Source organism: Homo sapiens, chromosome 10, assembly GCF_000001405.40.
Source record: "Homo sapiens chromosome 10, GRCh38.p14 Primary Assembly".
Lineage (NCBI taxonomy): Eukaryota > Metazoa > Chordata > Mammalia > Primates > Hominidae > Homo > Homo sapiens.
Window position 1 is genome coordinate 89178179 of NC_000010.11, and position 26321 is coordinate 89204499.

The 26321-nt window shown below is 37.9% G+C and overlaps 1 long non-coding RNA gene across 1 annotated transcript, besides 1 other annotated feature; it reads left to right on the forward strand.

Annotated features, from left to right (window-relative positions):
- The first annotated feature begins 1103 nt into the window (after positions 1-1103).
- LOC105378418 (uncharacterized) lies at positions 1104-26321 on the forward strand. The gene is made up of 4 exons (XR_946180.4): positions 1104-1226; positions 3646-3762; positions 16416-16530; positions 26253-26321. It is a non-coding gene; the product is annotated as an uncharacterized LOC105378418 (long non-coding RNA).
- Positions 23480-23649: an enhancer, noted in NCBI's record as "experimental_17965 CRE fragment used in MPRA reporter constructs". NCBI's record gives its function as "activates a minimal promoter by MPRAs in K562 erythroleukemia cells, with activity observed for the introgressed 10:90961500 variant allele {active_cell/tissue: K562}" and the evidence as "EXISTENCE:reporter gene assay evidence [ECO:0000049][PMID:34662402]".

Genomic DNA, 26321 nt, shown 5'->3' on the forward strand with positions numbered 1-26321 from the left:
ATTTCCCTCATACCTAACATTCAGTCTACTCTGTAATTCTGTTTTCTCTACCTTCAAATTTTATCTAGAATCCCAGCATTTCTCACCAGCTTCACAGCTATACCCTGGTGCAAGCCATCTCCCAACTCTCTACTTAATTCCAAACTTGCTGCTATAGTCTATTCTCCACCCAGCAGCCAGAGTGAGCATGTTAAAGAGTCAGAATATGACATGACTTTGCACAAATCCTTCCGTGGCTTTTCATGGAAGGATGAACCTTAAAGTCCTCATAATATCTACAAGGATCTACATGATCTGGCCTCTCTGAACTCTTCTTCTATACACCCCTACTATACACTTCAGCCTTTCTGTTCCTCACGGCACTGAGCATGTGTTCACCTCAGAAACTATTACCCTTGGGATCCCTCTACCTAGGATTCCCTCCTGTTAATTTCATGTTTCCCTCATTTCCTTTAGGTATTATTTAAATGTTACCTCCTTGGGGAAGCTTTCCCTCCCTCGCTCCTTACATGAAATTGCATGACAACCCCACCACCTTGGCCAAACTCTCCTCTACTCCTCCCTTGCTATTTACTCCCCTTAGCACTAGGTAGTCTGTAACATAGTGTGAAATGTACACATTCATCTTGGTTATTGCCTGTCTCCCCCACTATGATGTAAGTTCTAGGAAGGCTGGAATGTTTTTTAACTCACAACTATATTCTAGTGTTTAGAACAGTGTCTGGCCCATGGTAGGTGCGCATTTGGTGAATGAATTAATAAATTAGTGAAAATATACCTACATACATGCTAGGCATTGAGGACTATCGTGAGAGTGGAAGGCCACTGAAACACAATTCCTGCCTTTGAGGTGTTAATAGTGCTGAAGAGGAGATGCTAAGTGAACACAAATCACAATAACACAAAACATTGTGTATTAAGTGCTATGACAAGGGGCGGGCAGGGAGTAATAAAAATCTCAAAGCGGGTTGTGTTGAGAAGACTCAGAATGTGTGACAAGTAACCACTTTGTGTCAAGGAAGGCAGACTCAGATTTGCTTAACCAGGTTCAGAACAACCTGAGAATAGAATCTGTACACTGAAGTTTAAGTGACTATATTCATTTATTTTGTACAGGTCACTGGAGATTCCATGGTAAACATGGCACACATGGTCCTTCCCCCACAATGAGGTTTACAGCCAAGTTGGAGAGAAAAGTGGTTTTGAACTGGATTAGAGATGTCAATGTAAGCACCCAAATCAAAATTCAGAGCTTAAGGAACTGTGAAGTCTGCAGTAGAATTCAATTAGATCTGTTAAGAAAGAGATTTATGGGACCGGGTGTGGTGGCTTACGCCTGTAATCCCAGCACTTTGGGATACCGAGGCAGGCGGATCACCTGAGGTTGAGAGTTCGAGACCAGCCTGACCAACATAGAGAAACCCCGTCTCTATTAAAAATCCAAAATTAGCCGGGCATGGCGGCTCATGCCTGTAATCCCAGCTACTTGGGAGGCTGAGGCAGGATAATCACTTGAACCCAGGAGGTGGAGGTTGCAGTGAGCTGAGATTGCACCATTGCACTCCAGCCTGGGCAACAAGAGGGAAACTCCATCTCAAAAAAAAAAAGAAAGAAAGCAAGAAAGAAAAAGAAAAGAAAGAGATTTATGGGTTAAAGTTTTAGGCTAAATGAACTCAATGAAGCTTTAATCTATGAATGTAAGTTTTAACCCAGCAGCCCATAAAAGCTTTTGCATTTTATGGCTGCCTAAAAATTTATTTTACTGAACTCTGTGGAAGAAGGGAGCATTTTGGTGGGGGTAAGGGAGACATGAAATGAGAGGCCACAGTCCCCAAAAATTAACTCTACTGTAACCCTTGAGTAGGTGTAGAAGAAGGAGTTCCATTGCTGAGAAGCAAGATATCATTAGAGTGGTATTTATGATGGGAGTTAGGGGGTTAATATAAAATTATCAAGGGTGACCTTATGGAGGAAGTTTAATTTTTGACAGGCTTTTAAGATGAGTTTAAATGGGGAAAAGGAAGGAGTAATTTGCCAGACTGGAGGCATAGATGGTGGTCTAAGGTCCGAGGGAGAAGGTCAGCTTCACAGAGCACAGCTAAGCTGTCCAAGGCCATGGAATCCTATGCCATTGCTGATCTTTAGCTCCGTACACAAGTATGGCTTTATTGGATTTTAAAATATTGAAATCAGTCATCCTCATTCTTCACAGATTCCTACTTGCTAAAATGTATATGTAACCTCAAAAATCAATAATCATGGCACTTTCATTGTCATTTGTGGACATGCTCAGAGCAGCAAAATATTTGAGTCACCCATTGGGCACATTCCCAGCTGAGGTCAAACAAGGCAATGTTCTATCTTCTTGCATTAGCTCTCTTTCTGTAAACACATGTCCTTGCTATGGTCTATTTAGTGCCACGTTTTTCACACTTTTGTGTTTTTGTTGGTGATTTTGCTGTTTAAAATCGCCCCAAGCATAATGCCAAAGTGCTTTCTAGTGATCCTAAATAAAAGGAGGCTATGCTGTGCCTTATGGAGAAAATACATGTATTAGAAAAGCTTACTTCAGACATGAGTTATAGTGCTATTGGCCATGTTTAATGTTAATGAATCAATAATATGTCTTAAATAAGGTGGTTTTAAACAGAAACACACATAAAACAAGGTTATCTATTGGTCAGTTGACAAAAAATCTTGTGATCAGAAGCTCTCAGGAACCCAACCCTATATTTCCCCTAGGAGCAATGGTTCAGGATTTACTAATTCAGTGCTTATAGCAACTTTATAGAACATACCATTATGAATAACAAGAATCAAATGTACTTCCACACTCCTTAGTAAGTAACTACTAGTCCTACCCACGATGAGTGTCTTCCCATTGCCTTGGCTGCCCTGTCCTCTGCCTCTAGCCACGCACCCTCCTAGAACTCTCCATTGTCTATCAGCTGAAGGTCTAGGAGCGGCCTCTAAAATGCGGAAGACCACCATTCTGATTGCTTAGTACCTGTGCTGTGTTTGATGTTAGATATTTTTAATATCACCTTTGTGTATAAATATCTCATTGACTTCTCTCCCATAGGGAACATAATAAGTCTTCCATTAAACAGAACTTGTCCAAAGAACTGTTATTCAATCAAAAGTATGTGAGTTCTGTCCTTTTAGAAAGGGAGACGTAATTCACAAGAAAAATCAAAATAAAAAATTTGTGAAAATACCTAATTTTCTGACATTCATTAATTCTCAGCCAGGCTCTTAGGCTATCTAAAAAGTCCTGACAAATGAGAATGAACCTGAGAATCATTTTTCTTGTCATTTGCTCAAAAGATTAATTTCCTGATATTCTAGGTTTAAAAAAAGAGGAGTAAGATGGTAAAATGTGAAGGAAATATCTGATGCTTGAAATAATTCAGAATTTGCCATGTTGGAGAGATATTTTAGAGATATCCCATAAAGGGTATTAGGATTTGACAACAATAAGAGTTGAAGAAGTGTTCTGATTCTATTAATAGAATCAAGGACAAAAGCCCTAGGGTCACAAGAAACCTGAATTCTGTTGACTAAAGAAAATAGCAATGTTTTAAAAAATTAACATATGTTTTATTAATTAATTAATTAATTAATTAATGTGTTTATTCATTAAAGCTTGTTTTCAGAAGCCTTGAGGGCTATCAGTTGAGAACTACAGCCCTGGAAGCGCCCATCAGAGAGGTTCTGTCAGACGGCTCTGACACAGTATTCCAGCTCACAGCTTACACAAAGGTAGTGGAAGTTCAGTATGTGTTCAGAAGTTACATCAAATTTGTTCAGAAGTTACATTAAAGCAGAATCACCTAAAGTTTAGGTGCAAGAGTACATCTGGTTATAGATTACAGAGGCATAGTCACTAACTCTGTCAGACATTATCTTATGAGTAGGAAAAGGCAAGGACTAGGATTATATATCTTTTAAGGATGTAGTGACTTGGGAAAGAGACATGAGGGGCCAGGTGCTCTATCCTGCTTTGTCTTCAGAGCATTCTTCCATAGAGCTGCTCATAGAGTCAGGGGCTGTGTGAAATTATGCTGGAGAGCAGAAGTGAGCAAACATAGGTTTGCTGCTTTGTCTCACATTTTAAATCTCAGCTTTGCCATATATTTCACATATTCAAACTTAGGTAAGTCACTGAACCTAGATAAACCTGTTCCTTAATTGGTTAAGGACAATTAACCTTGTGGACAGACCAAGTTCTACTCTCAAAGGGTCTTTGGAGGGGGTTAAAAATAGACAATGTGTAGAGTACTGAGCACAGAGCTTGATGCAGATAAAGTTGACAATTATTAGCAGTTATTATTAAATTGTTTTTATGCAACATTTATATTTCCTTTAATATATAAGTAATATATGCTTGTGTTTTTTGAAAAATTGAAAATATAAGGAAAGAACATATAAAGAAACCATTATAACTTTATTATCCAGAGACTACCTCTTTTAAAATTTTGGTGTATATTTTTTAGACTATATTACAACTCTCTACTTTTTTTAAGTATCTACAAATGTTGTAAGCATTTGAATGTAATTTTAATGGGCAAAGTACATAATGCAATTCTTTGATGAGAAAAATTATTGATTTCCTAGTGACTCCTTAACGTAATGATTTGTTCAATGTGCTGTTCATCTGTAGCATATTTATTATAAGAATTGGAAGACAGGTGTCGGTAAACGCCAAATTTCATACAAACACCAAGAATTGTTTAGAAAGAACTTGTCCTGTGACTCTTCCCTGCCATTTTCCAGTTCCCATGGATCTATCAGCCTATTCGTTAGTTGCTTTTCATCATATCAGGAGGCTCATACTCAGCTGCAGGATGACAGTCTAGTCAGCATTTCCAAAAGGGCAAAAATCACTCAGGCCTCATCAGAGTGTGCACACACTCACACCCCCACTGCCTGCGAAGAGTACTGCTGCAACCTGCTACAACCTATGTGCCAGTTTCACATGCAGCTATCTCTGAGTACAAACTGACAGTATTGAGGGATAGATGAGATGGTAGACTTCAGCAATAATCTACAAATATTTTGGCTAACAAGCTGATTATTCCCTATTTTGTTCAAACAAGCATACCATAACTGATCCATTTCAAAGACTAATTCAAGGGACTAATTTACACCTCGTATACTGATGCCACTGTTGCTCAGAATATTCTGGGAGAGATCTCTCTCTCTCTCTTTCTCTTGAAAGTACCTTCAGAGGATTTTGTCTGCTATATAGTATTTTAACCATTTTCCAAAGTATTAAAAAACTTTTTGACATTGGAACTGACTATAAAACCAAAATCATTTAAAATGAGATTTCTTTGTTTAAAAATATACTTGATAATCTAAAGTCAAATCTGCCTTTACCTCCCTTCTCAAGGCTTCTTTGTAGACTGATTTAAATAGTCCTTTGTTAACACACTGTATACAAATGTAGGTTGTTTTTTACCATGTATGCCTTTACAGTCATAATATTTAGAAACCAGAAAATACTGTAATCACAAAGGAATTTCATTTTGCCATTCTGTCCTACTCATGGATTTGAATATACTCTCTGTAAGAATGGCTTTCTCTGTAAGAATGTGGTTACAGAGAAAATTGCTCTGATACTCTTTCCACATTATTTTGGCTTCATTCTGACTACTACCTGATATTTTTGGAGGCTGTTCCAAGCTTTGGAAAGAAATGTGTCAACTCTAGGCTTCAGCTACAATTGGAGTCATCTTCCCAGGACTCCATCCTTGCAAGCCCTACCACATCATGTGAGCTGGGAACCTGCAAGGTGGAAGCTACCATTCTGAGAAACTCTTGGGGAATGGGGATACTTCTAGGGCTGCCTTCACGATTAATGTTGGGGTTTTTGGTTTGCTGAGAATTCACACAATCTGGAAATACAGTTGTCACCTCAAAGAACAAGCAGTTACTTTTCATCTCCTGCATGTTTCATTGAGTGCAGTCAAGGTTTCTTGAATTGTGGCCCGTGAACCATTTACATAAGAACTCTTTGTCCTTACCTCAGACCCACTACATCAGAATCTCTGGAATTATAGACCATGAATGTTACTGTGTGTGTGCTGTTTTGGTTTTGTTTTTGTTTTTGCAGTTTCTCCTAGTGATTCTTATGCATTCTAAAATTGGAGAATCATAGTGTGATGGATTCTTTAAGCCTGACTTCTAGGGCACCATAGGAACTAGACCTGATAATTTGTCAATGTAAAGTTGTGTTGAGCTGGAAGGTGCATTTATGTCATGTGTTTCATTCTTCGTTAGGATCAAGTAGGAAGGAAATCATGAGGACATCAAGGCAACATCAAACCCACATTCTTTCTTCTTAATATACTCACTTTCCTGTGTTCCCTTGGTTCTAGATACCTTTGGTCACTCAAATACATAGCTTTAAAGATGAATTCATTTATTCGACAACTATTAATCAGCCCCTGGCAAGACCTGGATCTCGTGCTTGTCAACAACAGCATGGAGATTAATGAAATTGGATGCTTCACATCAAAGAGTTTAGAATCGAATCCTTTCTTCCTGGTGCCCCCCAGCAATGGCTGGAGAACAAACACCCTATTCCAAACAAAGAAATTCTAGAAATCTCCTAGTTCACTGGTTTTACACTGTGTTTCTTAGAGTTCTGAGGTGCCTCAATGTTCCCCTGGGGATGTGTGGGTGGCAGGTCAAGTTGGCTCTGTACAACTACTTCCCCTTCAACCATAACAGCTCCGTTTTTCTATATTTATTTTTATTACATTTCCACACAAGATTTCAGCTAAGACAAGATAAAAAGTTTATAAAACAACAGTGTAGAATTGACACATTTCCAAATATTTATCTCCAACAAAGTTTCCAACTCTATATTCAACTCTCCCCTTCTTGACTTCTTTCAGTGTTTCTGGCAAATCAGAGAAAATATGCCTCAAATTGGTGCTTACGTGCAAAACCTCTTTCCCCACCAGCTAAGCTTTATAAAGGTATTTGCCCTCAAGTGAGCTGGAAGCAATAGAAATCTTAACTTTCAGGGAAAAGACTGCCCTATTATATTACTTGGAAGAAGAAGTTTTTGGGACCGTGTCAAGCCACACAGGTGATATTTGAAGCTACCAATGTTAATTTTCTGATGTCCTGAATTATCCCTCTCCTTCCAACCTGCTCCAATTTTTCTTGGTCTAGGCCAATCTCTTTGCTTAACTCTGTGTTGAACTGTGAATCAACACCAAATTCCATTTTCCAAAATAATGTTTGCCTTTCACATCAAGAGCCTAGCTTCAAGTTCGTTCAATTGTTCACAGGAACCTAGATGTTGAAAAAGAACAAGAGACTCTTTGGCATCAGTGAATCATGTATAAATATGTATGCTTCTATCAACATACACATTTAGACACAGAAGACCCGTGCTTCCTGGGAGACCACATTTTAAGATAGGAGTAGGAAAGGAGACCATTCGGGGTTGTAAACACAGGTTTCCTGGAGAGGATGGTTATTTCCAAATCCCAGTGGATGAAAATAGCATCATAATCTGGCTGCATGACAACCAATAGGCTGGGCTGTCTTCACTCTAGCCACCTATAACTCCATAGGTCAATAGAAGGCCAATGTAAAGTTTACAGGAGTGCAATGTAAAGTTTACATTAGGCTCCTATCACATTTCTATTTATATCCCAGGGTAACAATGTAAACACCCCATGTTTACATTGGGGTGTGAATATCTGCTTGGTCTTGAGGTAGTCCTTGTTGAAGCAATTCTTAATAGACAATGATTGAAGTTCCTCCCACTTACTGTTTATGTTGGCACTTGCAGTTGAGATAAAGGGCTGTTAATATAGAAAGGGCTGTTTCTGGATAAGGCTGCTTACATTGTTATGAATTTACTCTACTGGAATGGTCACTCAACTATAATTAGTCTAGAAACACTATAATAATTTGGAGAGGTTTTAAATGTTATCCATCTTTGGGTTTAGGACTAGAGAAAGCAAAGGATTTAAATCTCCATGACCTCCAAATGGATACAGAAGTTGCTATGGGGATCCTGAATTGAAAGTGAAAATGTTTTGTGAACTTGGACATCTTGTTTGACATTTTCAGCTTCAGGCTCCAGATGACTTGTTTGCTAGATGAAAAATTGTCTATCAATCCAAACTCACAAGGTTATAATATATATAAACATTCCTGACTGGAAAGCATTCTATAAAACTGAGGTAACTAAATCAAATCATTAACTGGGCCCAACCCAGGCCCTAGACCTTCTCAGTTGCACCAAAAGTGTTTCTACTGCTTGCACTCCCTTGAGTACAAACACCTTTATTAAAACCTAGCTGGTAGGAAGGGCCTCTATACCACAGCATTTAGGGAGCTGTCCTAGCGAAGAAAGAAATAAGCCTAAATGAAAAGTATTCATGTTCTCTAATTTATCTCTTAATTTTACTTCCTCCCATATATGGATGAAGTCATATCTCACAGCCAAAAGCACAGAGTGGTGCTAATCTGCATTTTCTGGAAAATAAGACATGAAAGGGCTTCTTTCTTTGAACACTGCCTCTAAGTCTTTAAATGGTTTAAACACTCACAAGTGCATTAAGGCAATTTGTCAAGACAAACTCAAAGGCAGTAGTTCACTTTTTGCCTGTTTTGGCCTCTTCCTGCCAAATCCAGCCAATTTCTTTCACGGTAATTTTTGGAAGCTGGCAGGCAGGTAGAAGCATGTGGAAAGCAAATACTCAACTAATAGAACAAATGCAGGCATATGAATTACCATGACATTGAGAAAGTCCCACCACATGGTGAGAGGTGGTGTGATCAGACAGATTCCTTTAGGTCATTTACTCAGATTTATAAAAGCATTGAAAGCAACTCCAGAATGATTGAAAGAAGGCTGAGGTGAGGATATGGTTATCAGTAAAATCTTCTTGACTCTGAACAAAACACATTACAGGATCCAGGGCCTCCTCATATAGCTCTGCAAGTTGAGCACTCCACATCTCTAGGGGGTGCCATTCACATTACCGCCTACAAAAATGACACTCCCTGGAGTTGTTCAGTGTACAACCTGCATGGCTGTACATGGCTGACTTAGAGAGCATATTATTGGAGAGAGGAGAGAGGAGGTGATGGGTGGGGAAAAAACGCTTTACTTACAAACTGAATTTGTACCCTGGTTTTCCACATACACTCTGGGTAGTTATGGGTAAGTCATGTAATCTCTCTGAACCTCAATTTCCTCCTTTGGCAATTGTGAAAAAGATTCTATAAGGTTGCTGGGTTAATGAGGGCTAAATGAGATGGTGTAGACAAAAGTGCCTGATAAATGGAAGGAACTTATTAAATAATATTTATTTGTAATGACTTGCAGGCTGCCAAGCAGATACTGGAGGAGGCAGGCATCCTTTATTTAAAAGAAGAAAAATAAGAATAAGGAAAATACCCCATATTTAAATGGTGCTTTATGTATTACCCTCAAAATAACCTTTTTAGTAGGTACTATAGTAGTTTGATGGTGCAGATTAGTTATGTCACTTTTTCATAGTCACAAAGTTAGTAGGTGAAAAAGCTAAAACTCAAATCCCTTCTTTTCATTAGAAGTCCAGTGTTCTATCTCTAAATGATTTAGCAAGAAACAGAGGAGGTTGCAGAAGGCATTTGAATAAAGCTCTATTGGCCAACTGGGGTTGACTACTGAGCTTCCTTGGCAATGGCTTTTACAGGACTAACTAAAATCTTTTTAAGATATATCCTTTCTTCTCATCAGCCACCTTGGGACTGCTTTTGTATAATCCAGGGATAGGAAAAGAGAAATCAGCTCTAAGACCACACATGACTACCAAGATGGAAACAGAAACATGTGAAATTTAAATGATGCCTCCAAGCTAAATTACTTTTGTTTTGCAAGAAAATATGTTTTGTGCTTTCGTCTAATAATAGATATACTTGATATGCTATGATTTGAACCAGTTCAACAACTGCTACGACAAAGGCTCAGTTTCCAAGGGAGCTTGCAATTTAATCATATTCCTCTGTGTGACCTTACTCTAAGTTCAAATCCCCCCTCCACACCTAAAATAACATACTAGTTAAAATTGAGAGCACTGCAGCCTCATGTTTGGGTTTTTATTCTGCTATATAAAACTTTGTGTGAGGTTCTTCACCACTTTGTGCCTCCATTTTTTTCTCCTCTTTAAAAATAAGATGGCATTTACTGAATAAGCTTTTAACAGTGAAGGAGTTTACATGTAAAAAAGCAAGTAGAAGAATGGTTGTCACACAGTAGTTGCTTGGTAAATCAGGAGTGCATTATGATCCTAAGTTTTTGTATACCTCATGTAAAAATATACCTCACAGAGTTCAAAATAAATGAAGCAAAAATTGATAAAACTAAAAGAAGAAACAGACACATCTACAATTATAATCGGAGATTTCCAAAACCCACTTTCAATAATTGAGAGAACAAGTAGAAAGAAAATACGGATATAAGAAACATGGAATACACTTCAATCAACTTGATGTACTAAACAACTACAGAATACTTCATCCAAGAAGAGAATACATATTCTTTGCAAGTATTGTTATAGATTGAATGTTTGTTTCCACTCCAAAAACAAAAAAAAAAATTATTTTGGAGCCCTAAGTATTGAAGCTCTAACCCCCAATGTGATAGTATTTGGAGGTGGAGCCTTTGGGAGACAATTAAGTTTAGATGAGGTCATGAGAGTGGGGCTCCCATGATGGAATTTGTGTTCTTCTAAGAAGAGGAAGAGTGACCATCGCTTGCCCTCTCAGCATCATGTGAGAAGGTGGTTGTCTGCAAGCCAGGAAGGGGACCCTCACCAGAAACTGAATTGGCCAGCACCTCATAGCCTCCAGAACTATGAGAAATAAATATCTATTGTTTAAGCCAGCCAATCTATAGTATTTTGTTATAGCAGCCCAAGCTGACTCATACAGGCACACGTGAAACATTTTCCAAGATAGATCATATTCTCAACCACAAACAGCCTTCAGAAATTTTAAATTATTCAAAACATACAAAGTAGGAGTTGAAATGGAGGGTAAGAAACTCAAAAAATTATCCCTTCTTAAAGGTAACGGAAAAACTATCAAAAACTATCAGAATCAACTTTTATTGGAACTTTGGAAACTAAACAAAAGCTTGCAAGAACCAGGAAAATGCTTAATGAATAAAAATTGGCTGACTCTCAATAAGAACAGATAACTTTTTGTCCTTTTAATTTACCCTGGCTTCATGCCCCATTTCCCATCTCAACAGTTGCCTTAAAGATAACATTCTGCATTCCTATTACAGGTACTGGTAATGGCAGGAGCAGAATGCACTTTGTTCCCAAAGAACTTTGGTCATTTGTTATGACCAGTTTGGTGTCTGCTTGGAGGATAAGCCCAAAAAGCCTGCCTTTATCTAACCTAATTTGGATTCACCCAGTGCTGCTGCTTGGGCAATAGATAGCAATTGGGCAAGCAATTAACTAACCGAAACCTTGGGAGGAAAGACTTGAAAGGAAAAGCTTAGGAGAAGCTGTCTCAAAAAAAAAAAGACAAATATTTTTATAAGAGACAAAAATGATTGGATTATGATAAAAGATTCAATTCTTCAAGAAGATATAGCTATTCAACACACATATGCACCTAGCACAGATCCCCAAAACGTGTGAAGCAAAAACTGACAGAATTGAAGGGAGAAACAGTTTAACAATAACTTCAAAACCCCACTTTAAATAATGGACAGAATAATTAGATGGAAGATCAGCAGGGAAATACAAGACTTTTTACCTTTTAAAAAATTATTTCCATATGTTTTTTGAGGAAAAGGTGGTATTTGGTTACATGACTAAGTTATTTAGTGGTGATTTATGAGATTTTGGTGCACCTATCACCTGAACAGTATACACTGAACCCAATTTGTAGTCTTTTATCCCTCACCCCCTTCCCACCCTTTCCCCCCCACCTCCAGAGTCCCCAAAGTCCATTGTATCATTCTTATGCCTCTGCATCCTCATAGCTTAGCACCCACTTATGAGTGAGAACATGCAATGTTGGGTTTTCCATTCCTGAGTTACTTCACTTAGAATAATAGTCTCCAATTCCATCCAAGTTGCTGTGAATGTCATTAACTCATTCCTTTTTCTGGCAGAGTAATGTTCCATCATATATGTATATACCACAGTTTCTTTATCCACTAATTGATTGATGGGCATTTGGGTTTGTTCCACATTTTTGCAATTACGAATTGTGCTGCTATAAACTTGCGTGTGCAAGTATCTTTTCTGTATGACTTCTTGTCCTCTGGGCAGATACCCAGTAGTGGGGTTGCTGAAACAAATGGTAGTTCTACTTTTAGTTCTTTGTTGTACTAGTCTACATTACCACCAACAATGTAGAAGTGTTCCCTTTTCACCTTATCCACGCCAGCATCTATTATTTTTTTATTTTTTGATTATGGCTATCTTTGCAGGAGTAAGGTGGTATTGCATTATGGTTTTGACTTGCTTTTCCCTCATCATTCCTGATGTTGAGCATGTTTTCATATGTTTGTTGGCCATTTGTATATCTTCTTTTGAGAATTATCTATTTATGCCCTTAGCCCACTTTTTGATGGGATTGTTTGTTTTTATCTTGCTAATTAGTTTGAACTCCTTGTAGATTCTGGGTATTAGTCCTTTGTCAGATGTATAGATTATGAATATTTTCTCCCACTTTTTGGGTTGTCTATTGACTCTGATGACTATTCCTTTGGCCATGCAGAAGCTCTTCAGTTTAATTAAGTTGCACCTATTTATCTTTGTTTTTATTGCATTTGTTTTTGGGTTCTTCGTCATGAAATCTTTGCCTAAGCCAATATCTAAAACGGTTTTTCCATGTTATCTTCTAGAATGTTTATAGTTTCAGGCCTCAGATTTAAGTCCTTGATCCATCTTGAGTTGATTTTTTTTTAAGATGAGAGATGAGGATCCAGTTTCATTCCCTACATGTGGCTGGCCAATTATCTCAGCACTATTTGTTGAATAGGGTGTCCTTTCCCCACTTTATGTTTTTGCTTGCTTTGTCGAAGATTTGTTGGCTGTAATATCTGGGTCTATTTCTGGGTTCTCTATTTTGTTCCATTCACCTATGTGCCCATTTTTATGCCAGCACTATGGTATTTGGTGACTATGGCCTTATAGTGTAATTTGAAGTTGGGTAATATGATGCCTCCAGATTTGTTCTTTTTGCTAAATCTTACTTTGGCTACGAGAGATCTTTATTGCTTCCATATGAATTTTAGGATTGTTTTTTCTAGTTCTGTGAAGAATGGTAGTGGTATTTTGGTGGGAATTGCCTTGAATTTGTAGCTTGCTTTTGGCAGCATGATCATTTTCGCAATATCGATTCTACCCATCCATGAGTATGGGATGTGTTTCCATTTGTTTGTGTCATCTATGATTTCTTTAAGCAGTGTTTTGTAGTTTTCCTTGCAGAGGTCTTCCACCTCCTTGGTTAGGTATATTTCTAAGTACTTTATTTTTTTGTAGCTATTGTAAAAGGGGTTGAGTTCTTGATTTGATTCTCAGCTTGATTGCTGTTGGTGTATAGCAGAGCTACTGATTTGTACTGATTTGTATATTAATTTTGTATCCTGAAACTTTACTGAATTTATTAGTTCAAGGAGCTTTTTGGAGGAGTCTTCAGGGTTTTCTAGGTGTACGATCATATAATCAGCAAACAGCTACAGTTTGACTTCCTCTTTACTGATTTGGATACCCCTGATTTCTTTCTCTTGTCTGATTGCTCTGGCTAGGACTTCCAGCGTGATGTTGAATAGAAGTGGTGACAGTGGGCATCCTTGTCTTGTTCCAGTTCTCAGAAGGAATGATTTTAACTTTTTCCCATTCAGTATTATGTTGGCTGTTGGTTTGTCATAGATGGCATTTATTACATTGAGGGATGTCCCTTGTATGCTGATATTGCTGAGGATTTTAGTCATAAACTGTGATGGTTAATACTGAGTGTCAACTTGATTGGATTGAAGGATGCAAAGTATTGATCCTGGGTGTGTCTTTGAGGGTGTTGCCACAGGAGATTAACATTTGAGTCAGTGGGCTGGGAAAAGCAGATTCACCCTTAATCTGGGTGGTCGAAATCTAATCATCTGCCAGCACAGCCAGAATAAAAAGCAGGCAGAAGAACGTGAAAAGACGAGACTGGCTTAGCCTCTCAGCCTACATCTTTCTCCCATTGTAATATCTTGTAATGTCTCCTGTTTCATTTCTAATTGAGCTTATTTGGATCTTCTCTCTTCTTTTCTTGGTTAATCTTGCTAATGGTCTATCCATTTTATTTATTTTTATATATGTGTATATAAAGTACATATATATGTGTGTATGTATATATGTGTGTATATATATATAAAGGGGAGTTTATATATAAACTAATATATATAAACTAATATATATATTAGTTTGTGTATATATACATAAAGGGGTATATTATATATATGTAGTGTACATATATATATTATTGTGTGCATATATATATATATAAAGGGGAGTTTATATATAAACTAATATATATATTAGTTGTGTCCCTCTAGAGAACCCTGACTGATACATAAAGTGATGCTAGATTTTGTCTAATGCTTTTTCTGCATCCATTAAGATGATCATGTGATTTTTGTTTTTAATTCTTTTTATGTGGTATATCACAATGATTGACTTGTGTACGTTAAACCATCCCTGCATCTCTGGTATGAAACCCACTTGATCATGGTGGATTATCTTTTTGATATGCTGTTGGATTCAGTTAGCTAGTATTTTGTTAAGAATTTTTGCATGTTTGTTCATCAGGGATATTGGTCTGTAGTTTTCTTTTTTTGTTATGTCCTTTCCTGGTTTTGGTATTAGGGTGATACTGGCTTCATAGAATAATTTAGGGAGAATTCCCTCTTTCTTTATCTTGTGGAATAGTGTCAATAGGATTGGTAACGATTCATCTTTGAATGTCTGGTAGAATTTAGCTGTGAATCTATCTGGTCCTGAATTTTTTTGTTGGTAATTTTTTTATTACCATTTCAATCTCGCTGCGAGTTGTTGGTATGTTCAGGGTTTCTAACTCTTCCTGATTTAAGCTAGGAGGATTGTATCTTTCCAAGAATTTATCCATCACCTCTAAGTTTTTTAGTTTATGTGCATAAAGTTGTTCGTAGTAGCCTTAAATGATCTTTTGTATTTCTGTGGTGTCAATTGTAATATCTCCCATTTCATTTCTAATTGAGCTTATTTGGATCTTCTCTCTTCTTTTCTTGGTTAATCTTGCTAATGGTATATCAATTTTATTTATCTTTTCAAAGAACCAGCTTTTTGTTTCATTTATCTTTTGTATTTTTTTGTTTGCTTCAGTTTCATTTAGTTCTGTTCTGATGTTGGTTATTTCCTTTCTTCTGCTGGGTTTCAGTTTGTTTTGTTCTTGTTTCTCTAGTTCCTTGTGGTGTGACCTTAGATTGTCTATTTGTGCCCTTTCAGACTTTTTGATGTAGGCATTTAAGGCTATGAACATTCGTCTTAGCACTGCTTTGCTGTATCCCAGAGGTTTTGATAGGTTTTGTCACTATTATTGTTCAGTTGGAAGAATTTTTTAATTTCCATCTTGATTTCATTGTTGACCCAATGATCATTCAGGAACAGGTTATTTAATTTCCATGTATTAGCATGGTTTTGGAGGTTCCTTTTGGAGTTGATTTTCAGTTTTATTCCACTGTGGTCTGAGAGAGTATTTGATGTAATTTCAATTTTCTTAAATTTATTGAGACTTGTTTTGTGGCCTATCATATGGTCTATCTTGGAGAAAGTTCTATGCACTGAAGAATAGAATGTATATTCTTCAGTTGTTGGGTAGAATGTTCTGTAAATATCTGTTAAGTCCATTTGTTTCAGGGTGTAGTTTAAATCCATTGTTTCTTTGTTGACTTTTTGTATTGATGACCTGTCTAGTGCTCTCAGTAGAGTATTAAAGCCCCCCGCTATTATTAGGTTGCTGTCTGTCTCATTTCTTAGGTCTAGTAGTAACTGTTTTATAAATTTGGGAACTCCAGTGTTAGGTGCATATACATTTAGGAATTTAGGATTGTGATATTTTCGTGTTGGACAAGGCCTTCTGTCATTATATAATGTCTCTCTTTGTCTTTTTTAACTGCTGTTGCTTTAAAGTTTGTTATGTCTGATATAAGAATAGCTACTCCTGTTTGCTTTTGGTGTCCATTCATATAGAATGTCTTTTTCCCTCCCTTTACCTTCCAAAGATTAAAGTTATGTGAAATATATTTTCTGCCCACAAAAGAATTAAATTAGAAACCAATAACAAAAAAATTTAAAAATTCACAAATATGTGCAAATTAAATAATGTTTGTTAATTACCAATAGGTCAAAGAAGAAACCACATGGGAACCAGAAAATTATTTGAGATGAAAAAAAATGGAAGCATGACATGCCAAAGTTATCATACGCAGCAAGAGTGCTCATAGGGAAAATTATACCTGTAAGTTTCTACATTTTAAAAGGAGAAAGAATAGCCGGGCATGGCAGTGTGCACCTGTAGTCCCAGCTACTTGGGAGGCTGAGGCAGGAGAATTGCTTGAACCCAGGAGGTGGAGGTTGCAGTGAGCCAAGATCATGCCACTGTACTCCAGCCTGGGTGACAGAACAAGACTCCATCTCCAAAAATAAAAAAATCAAAAATAAAAGGAGAAAGACTTCAAATCAAGAACTTTACACCTTCAAGAACAGGAAAAAGAGGAGCAAACAAAACCCAAAGCCAGCAGAAGACAAGAAGTAATAAAAATTAGAATAGAGATAAATGAAATAGAGAATTAAAAAAGAACAAAAAAAGGAAACTGATGAAGCCAAAAGATGATTCTTTGAAAATATTAATGAAATTGAAAAATCTTGAGCTATGTTGATCAATAAAAAAGAGAAGACTAAAATAAGTAAAATAAGAAATAAAAATGAAGATATTACAGCCAACTTTACAGAAATAAAAATGATTATAAGAGAATACAATGAACAATTTTATGACAACAAATTAGATGACCTAGATGAAATGAACAAATTTCTAGAATCATACAAACTACCAAAACTAACTCAGGAAGAAATAGAAAATCTGAATAAAACTTTAACAAGTAAAGATAATGAGTTAGTAATCAAAATATTCCAATAAAGAAAAGTGCAGGTTCGAATTGCTTCACTTGTGAATTCTATCAAACATTCAGAGAATAATTAACACCAAACCTTCTCAAACTATTCCAAAACATAGATGAGGAGAGAACATGTTCTAACTCAATCTAGAAAGGCAGCATAATTACCCTGATGCCAAAGTCAATACAGAAAAGAAAACTGCAAGTCAAAATCCCTTATAAGCATAGATGTAAACATACACAACAAAATGCTAAGTAACCAAATCCAGCAGCATATTAAAAGGATGATTATGCATCATAACAAAGTGGATTTATTCCAGTGTGCTTCAACGTCAATCAGATTAAATTAATAGAATAAAGGGGGAAAATCCTACACGATCATCTCAATATATACAGAGAAAGCATTTGACAAAAATCAAACACCCTTTCTTGTCAAAAACACACAACAAATTAGGAACAGAGGGACCATGATAAGGAGCATAAAAACCCCACAGATAACATCACACTTCATGGTGAAAGACTGTAAGTGCTCTCCCTAATAATGAGACAAGGAGGTCTAATCTCATCACTTCTATTCAACATTATATTTGAAGTTCCACACTATTTTATCAGTAAGAACATAAATAGGCCGGGTGCAATGGTTCATGCCTGTAATCTCAGCACTTTGGAAGGCCTAGGCAGGTGGATCATCTGAGGTCAGGAGTTTGATATCAGGCTGGCCAACCTGGTGAAACCCTGTCTTTACTAAAAATACAAAAATTAGCCAAGCATGGTTTCGGGCACCTGTAATCCCAATACTTGGGAGGCTGAGGCATGAGACTCACTTGAACCTGTGAGGCGGAGGTTGCAGTGAGCCAAAATCGCACCACTGCACTCCAGTCTGGGCGACAGAGACAGACTCCGTCTCAAAAAAAAAAAAACATAAATAGATGCTCAACATCATTAGTCATTAGAAAATGCAAATCAAAATCACAGTGAGATACTATTGTCCCATCAAAATAGCTATAATATTTAAATTATACTATTTTTAATAAAATGGCAGAATAAATAAAGCCATAGAGATAGAAAGATTAATGTTCCCTACTAGAAACTAGCAGGAGCAGTGAATGAGGAGTAACTGGTAAGGAGTATGGATTTTTGGGTGGGAGTGATGAAAATCCTCTGGAATTTGATAGTGGTGACAGACAACTTTGTGAATATACTGACATCTACTGAGTTGGGCACTTTAAAGTAATTTAAATGGTGAATTTTATGTTATGTAAATTTTATCTCAATTTTTTTAAAAAACATACAAACTATGGTCTCTGAACAAAATGGAATTAAATTAGAAATCAGTAACAGAGAGATATTTGGAAGCTCTCCAAATGTTTGAAACTAAATAACATACTTGACATGGTTATGGGACAAAAAAATAAATCAAAAGTGAAATCGGAAATTATTTTGAATTATATTAAAATGAAAACACAACATAACAAAATTTTTAGGTTACAGCCAAAGCAGTGCTTGTAGGGAACTTTATAGTGTCAAAATATCTATATCATTAGAAAAGAAAATATTAAAGCAATGACATCAACTTTCTCCTCTTAAATAGCACTTCCTGGAAGAGGCCTTCCCTTATACCCTTTGGGCAGGAACTCTCCCTCACCTCCAGTTCTTCTCCATACATCAACCCAGTTCATGTTTTAGGAACCTACAGAAAGAAGAGCAAATTCAAATCAAAGTAAGCTGACTACAAGAATTAATATAGATGAAAATAGAAATAAGTGAAATATAAAAAGAAAACAATATAAAAAACAAATGAAAGCAAAAGCACATTCTTTCAGAAGACCAGTAAAATTGATAAACCTCTATTTAAAGTGATGAGGGAAAAAAGACACAACTTATCTATGTTAGGTATGGGTATGTGAGATAAATATACATTCTACAGATACTACGAGGATAATAAGAAAATTTCATTTTTAACATTATATCCATTTTTTATTTAAAACTCTCAGAAAGCTAGGAATAAAAGGGAATTCTTCAATCTGATGGAGGTCATGTACAAAACATTTAGAGATAATTTCAGACATAACAGTGAAACAATGAGTGTTTTTTCTCTAAGATTAAGAACAAGGCAAGGATATCCTCTCTTATATTACTTCTAGTCCATTTTTACTGGAGGTTATAGCCTTCTAGCCAGAGCAAGAAAGCTAGAAAAAGGAAAAAAAAAAAAAAAAAAGGCATCTAGACAGAAAAGGAAGAGGTAGAATGTCATTATTTGCATACATAATTTATTTGCATACGTCCATTCCATTCCATATCCCAACCTGTCAGAGTTTAGTTATCTTTATTCTGCAGGCTGGGATCTGGGATGGAATGGAAGCTCTTCAGCCCCAAGGGCATCCTACAGACACAGTGCCTCTGCACAAGGCATGTACAACCCTAGGCCACAGTTACTACGGAGGCCGGATACCGCTTTAGAAGATAATCTTTATCTAAGGATAAAACCTGCCTTAACAACTGGCTAATGAGCTTGAACCTGGAAAATCAGAGGTAAGAGAGAAATGGATAACAGGAAAGGAATTTGAATGGCAATAGCCGGAAACAAGGAAGAACCCTTGGACAGGTGAAGCAATGGCAGCTGAAAGAGGGCATGACATGCTGAGTGAACACATTGGAAGAGACTGGAGCAAAATGATAGGACCACCCTGGGCCCCAGCTCTGGCTTTTACCATAGAGCTATTTGATCTTAGGCAATTACTTTAAACTTTCCTTCTTGTCTGAGAAATAGGAATGAACACACAACCTACTTCACCTGGCTGGCTCCCTCTTGTCATTCAGGTCTCCTCTTAAACATCACTTTCTCAAAGAGGCCTTCCCTTATCCCCCTTCTGCAGGAAGCCTCCCCACCTCTCAGATCCTCTCCATCATATCAAATCAGTTCACTGTTTTTCATAGCATTAACATAATCTGAAATTAATTTGTTTATGTATTTGTTTATCATCTGGGGTGGATCTTTGAGGTGAGTTAATAAAGGTATTACTTAACCAAGCAGATTGTTGGCTTTGAAAATAGGATTGTTTTGGCCGGGCGCAGTGGCTCACGCCTGTAATCCCAGCACTTTGGGAGGCCAAGGCAGGCAGATCACCTGAGATCAGGAGTTCAAGACCAACCTGGCCAACATGGTGAAACCCCATCTTTACTAAAAATACAGAAATTAGTAGGGCATGGTGGTCCATGTCTGTAATCCCAGCTACTTGGGAGGCTAGGCAGGAGAATTGCTTGAACCCAGAAGGCAGAGGTTGCAGTGAGCCAAGATCGCGACACTGCACTCCAGCCTGGTTGACGGAGTAAGACTCCATCTCAAAAAAAAAAAAAAAAAAAAAAAAAAAAAGAAAAGAAAAGAAGGTTGTTTTAAGGATGAAAAGGAATCATATGTGCAAAGCATTTAGCACAATACCTATGAGCTATAGTCAGTAATTGTTCTATAATAGCCATTATTATCATTATTCTTGTCACTGTTACCATGATTATTTATTATCACACTGTAGGTGCTCATTAAGGTGTTGGTTGAATTGAAGTGCTGAGCATTAGGCCAGGGAGGCAACATAGAGTAGTTTTGAATGGCCTGATGTGCTGGGCTCTGTGCTGGTAACACGGTCAAAGCCCTCAACCAGAGCAGCCCACTAGGAGGGTCAAACCAGAAAAAAGTCCCAACCTTGGACAACCAGACCACAGCTCCTGGCTAGATGCACAGCTGGCTGGCTGCACAGCTACCAGGTCTGAAACCCACCTCTGCAGTCCCTTTCTCGTCCCTCTTCATTGCCCTTCAGGAGGTCTCCTCCCCATCTGACCAGAATAATGTATGTTATACCTGCACTGTATACAAATTTTTTTTTTGCAAACTTTTTTCATTTATGGTCCACTTTTTTCTTTCATCGATGAATACTAGTCCTTCTATCCAATCTCATACCATCCCCGTGAGCAAGTCTAGTAGTGGGTTATATGGGAAAAGCTGCCTATGGTCATATCCCTTTGAATGGGTTGATTCACAGTCTAGCTTCTTGTTATGAAAATATAATCTGTGCTTGTAGCAACTCACCTTTTCCTTGCAGAAAATGGAACAAGTTCTCAAAGACAAAACTCTTCTAAGCAAACTTTGATTCATTTTTCTATGAGATCATGAGAAGAAGATGTGACAAAGAAAAACTGAGCTCCTGAGGGGATGGCAGAGTCCAGTGATGACAACTGATAAGGGCAGGTTCCAAAAGGGTGTGCCTGGTGTGTACCATGGTTCTGCCACTTACTAGCTAAAAGATATGAGATGAGTTTCTGAATGTCTCTGTGTCATTCATGGGTTGCTGTTAGGAATTAAATGAGTTACTGGATGTAAAATGAGTTGAGAGAATCTCGTACCTAGTAAGCATTTGATAAATGTCAGCCAAGAACAAAACAAAAGAACAAGGCAGAAAAGAGACACAGCTGGAAACAAACACTGAGACAGGAAAAATACCAAGAGGTGTCAAGATGTGACAAATGGAAAGTTAGCCCAACAGAGGAAGTCAAGGTGTGTATTAGAAAGCTGCTAGCATCCGCCGGGACCTCAAACCCATGGAGAACACAATGTGGCACTATAGGACCCATTACCCATAAGAGGTCTGTTAGGAAATAAGGATATACCCTCCATGGGAAGGATGGGATTGAGATAAAGTTTGGGCTTCCAATTAGGCTTTGGTTCAAAGTCTTTTTTATGAGACTTGAGATGTCTTTAGCAAACATTTGGAATAAAGTCTGTATTTGAATTGCTATAAAACAGCACTTGCTCACCTTGGGTAATAGGAGGTCAAGATGGGGTTGGCTGGTACTAAATAATGTCAGAATGCTCATTTTGTTCTCCACATTGGCCCCTAACAACCACACATAGTCAGTTTGCCTTCCTGGCCTGTGGGGCACCACAGCCTCTGGCTGTCAATTAGGATGTGGCTATTCATTGTCCACTGATGACAACCACAAAAAACCTCCTATAGAGGTTTGTGCTAAGGGGCTTCCTCCTACAACCTAAATGCAAAAGGACACCACAGAACCCTCAGGTTTTAACCAATGTCCTCTTTACATACAAGAACCAGAAAGGTATTTAACCAGCCCAAGAAGAGGAATCTATTAGAAAGTCATGGAACCCAAAGGCAAAAAGTGTAGCAGGTTTAGGGTCGAGAACCTGGGCCTATAGAGCTTCCAGAAACCAGGTCAGTGGTCTGCTCCCAGAACTGCCATTGCCCTTTCCACTCCTTCTAGGGGTATGTGTCTCTCATTTCCCACTCCCTGAAAATCTGCTCATCCTCCTTTCATTCTATGTACAGATGGGCTTTCTTGGCATCATTATTCACACAGTACGAATGGCAGCCCCAAAATGGTCACCTGGATCTGCTGGTTTACATATCCTAAATTCCTGGAAAATAGCCTAATTCTTCCCAGGTGGATCAGATTTCCAACTTTGGTACAGAAAGCTGTGGCCATGATGTAGGGATCATATAGTATAACAATAGATACAGGGACCCAATCTGTGTTTGTGTGTGTACATAGTGGGAGTTGAGGAAGTTCTTAAAGAAAGGGGTATGGGTTTTGCAGGCTCCCAGACATGCCTTCCTACCAGAGGCTTTCTCTGGTAGGTCAGGAGAATGGATGAGCAAAGGATGGATTATAGACTGGTGTGTGTATGTGTGTGTGTGTGTGTGTGTGTGTGTGTGTGTGTTTTCATGGTAAATTGACTTCAAAGCTAAAACTCAGAACATGAGGTCCTAGATTAATTTATCATCACCATCAACATTTGGTCTAATTGACGTACTATATACTACACATATTTAAAGTATACGATTTGATAATTGTTGGTATTTGTATACACCTGTGAAACCATCCCCACAATCAAGATAGTGAACATATCCCTCATTACTAAATGTTTTCTCATACCCGTTTGGTAATTTATGTTTGCTGCCCCTCCCTTCATCAAACTACTGATCTACTTTCTGTCCCCATGAATTCATTTGCATTTTCTGGAGTTTTATAGGATTGAACTATATTGAACTATATGGTAAATAATCTTTTTTGTCTGGCTTCTTTTACTCAGCATAATTAGGACACAACCTTATTGCTGCATGTATTAATCATCTTTTTCTGTTTATTGCTGAGTCATAGTCCGTTGTGTGAATGCTTTTTTAAACATTTTTTAAACAAAGCTTTTCAGAGTTCGCAGAAATAAAAAAAAATGTTCACACTATGAACCCACAAAAGTATGTGGCAGGGTGGATCTTAGCAAAATTTGAAATAAACACTTCACTCAAGTTGCTACAAGTCGGCGGAGCTATTTATGTTGGGTTTAGGCAAATGATTAGCAAAGAATATTGATAGCAGCAATTTCTAAGTAGTGTCCCATAACTGCCTTCTTGATACTCACTCAGCAAGAGACAGTATGTAACTTGTTCAGGGTCACAGAGTTTATAAGCAGTGGAGCCAGGATTGGAATCCAGGCAGAACTTGCCACGGTCGCCTAACTGGAATCACTGTCACTGTTCACTGCTGCCAGTTACCTTCTTGAACCAGATCTAATGTCACTCCCTTGCTTGAAATCTGTGGACCACCCTCCCCACTCCCTCAATAGCCCAAGTCCAGGTTTCAATGCATTTATCCGTCTATTCATTATAAATCGACAAATAACAAGAAGCTCTAACATTTGTTTCAAAGCAATTTTACATACAATCTCTCAAAAACCCTGGGACATAAGCAGGTGAGTCAACAGTTCTAAAAAGTTTCAATAGCTTGTGAAGAGGCAAGACAGCAAATGTTTGTTGCTGGGACCCAATTCCAGGCTGTAACTGCCTTGTTAGACATGTACCTTGAATACCTTGAGTGTCGGACACATTTCTTCCTTGCTTATTCAGTGCTCAGAGCTTCCTGCCATGTTTCAGGAATGTCAAGTTCTTTGATCTCTCTCTAATTTTGCAACTGCTGTTTCTTCTGCCAGGTATGCCCTGTACCCTGCTTAGTGAAGACACAAATCCTTCATGATTTAGCTCAAATGTCCCATCTCTTTTTGAACTCCCTTAACAACCTGTTAACATCCTCCATTACAGCACTGGCCACATTAGATTAAATGCATTTGCTTGCCTGACTCTCTTTCCCAGTAGAGTGTGACTTCCTCTAGAACAGAGATTTATGAGTGGTGATCATGGCCTGAGTTAGAAATCTGGAACTGACTAGTGATGGAAGATGGAGAAGAACAAGAAGGAATGTTTGAGAAATGCATGATTAATGGCTAAGGTGTGTTTCTAGTTCTTCCAGGATTCATGCAACACTGAACCAATGTTTATTAAGAACTAGGCATAGTACTACAGGCAGAAATAAATGGTAGATAGGAAAAAAATAGTTGTGTGTTTATGTTTATGTATGTGAAGAGAGAGAGAAGAGGAGGCATAGTGTGTGTATACACATCTAGTACAAATATAGCAGGTTTGTACATGTTTACATATATAGTGTGTGTACATATAATGTGTACACATATATACTATACAGTGTGCTTATATATGTGTGCATATATACAGCATATGTATATAGTGTTTAAATACATCTATGTGTACATATAATAGCATGTAGTCATAGAGTTTGTGTGTATAGTGTGTACATATATAGCGTGTCTACATGTTACATGCATATGCACATATACATGGTGTATGTGAATATACATGCGTATACACATTGTGCTTATTTACTAGAATGCAATGCAGTAGGACATTTATAGACTACATTAGGAGATGGTAGGGAGGATATTAATTATAAACAATACAGGTATTTTTTAGTAAAATGAGGAGCACCTTGAGGCTTGCCTCCCTATTGTGGTGAAAGAAGAGCCATTGAAGAGAGAAGGAACAGCTGGAGAATGAGGATGGAAAGGAGTTGAGAGAAACCTCACTAAAGCAAAGCAAGAACCACATTCCAAGATGAGCTGGTTTGTAAATAAAATTCCTCTAAAAAAAAAAAAGAAGAAGAAGAAAAGAAAGCCAAGGAAATGGAACACCAAGCAGGGAAAAGTCACTGGATTTGAGAATTAGGAAATTAGTAGGCAACCCAGAGCAAAAGTTTCCAGAGGAATGGGAGTAGAATGACTCAGAGGTAAAGAAGTAGAATCAAACAAACATAGACTTCTTTCTCTTTATAAAACTTTTGCCTTGAAAGGATGGTGGGAGAAGTAGCTTGTGATGGAAGCAGAACCAACAACTTGGCTTTATTTGATTCCCCGGAATATGAGCGAGCACAAGCATGTTTGTGAACAAAAAGCTTTGACCATTCTGAACTGCAGTCCTAGCACTCACACTGGGAAGCATCAGTCACAGCAAACACGACTACAGCCAGGATTTCGGATTCATCTAGCACTTTGCGTCTAGTAACTCAAAAATCCCTCACAACAACTCAGCAAGGAACAGTCTATGATCAACAGATAAGGAAGCTAAGGCAGAGAGGTTAAGTACCTTATCCAAAGCCACTCAGCTAGTAAGTCCCAGAACCCAGATTCCCACCCAGGTAATCTGGCTGCAATAGTTGCGTTTGTAGCACAGGTGCAATGAAGGATGCAGAAAACAGTCCTTGACCTGCCTCCTGCTCTCCCAGGGCTTGCTTAGACTGGCCTTGCTCTACCTCCCCTGGCTTTCTCCCCTACCCAGGCAGAGGCTTTGGCAGCCATGTGGAAGTGAAGTAGTGGGCCAGGGTAACACTGTTTTAGGGGTAGTAACAAAGGAGGAACAACAGAGGGAGGCCATTTGTTGGTGTTGCAGGGTTTGCAGCTCTCTGGCAGTTATCAGAAGAGAAGCACAGTATACACCACCAGACCTAAGTTTAGTAGAACTGGCTCCCACTCCTCCTATTTTGTAATCTGGAAAAAAGTACTTAACCTGTGTGGGTACCAATCCTCTATCCATAACAGAGGTGATGATGATAATAGTAACTATTCTACATCCCTATGGTGTTGTTGTAAGGAGCAAGTGAGAAATTGTGTGACAGCGCATGCGCATATGAACTTTTTCTTTACTATTTTTATTAACAGGTTCTCAAGCTATCTGAAAAATTGCTCATCCTTTCCACTTCCGCGGTTCTACCTCCCAAGGCATTAAAA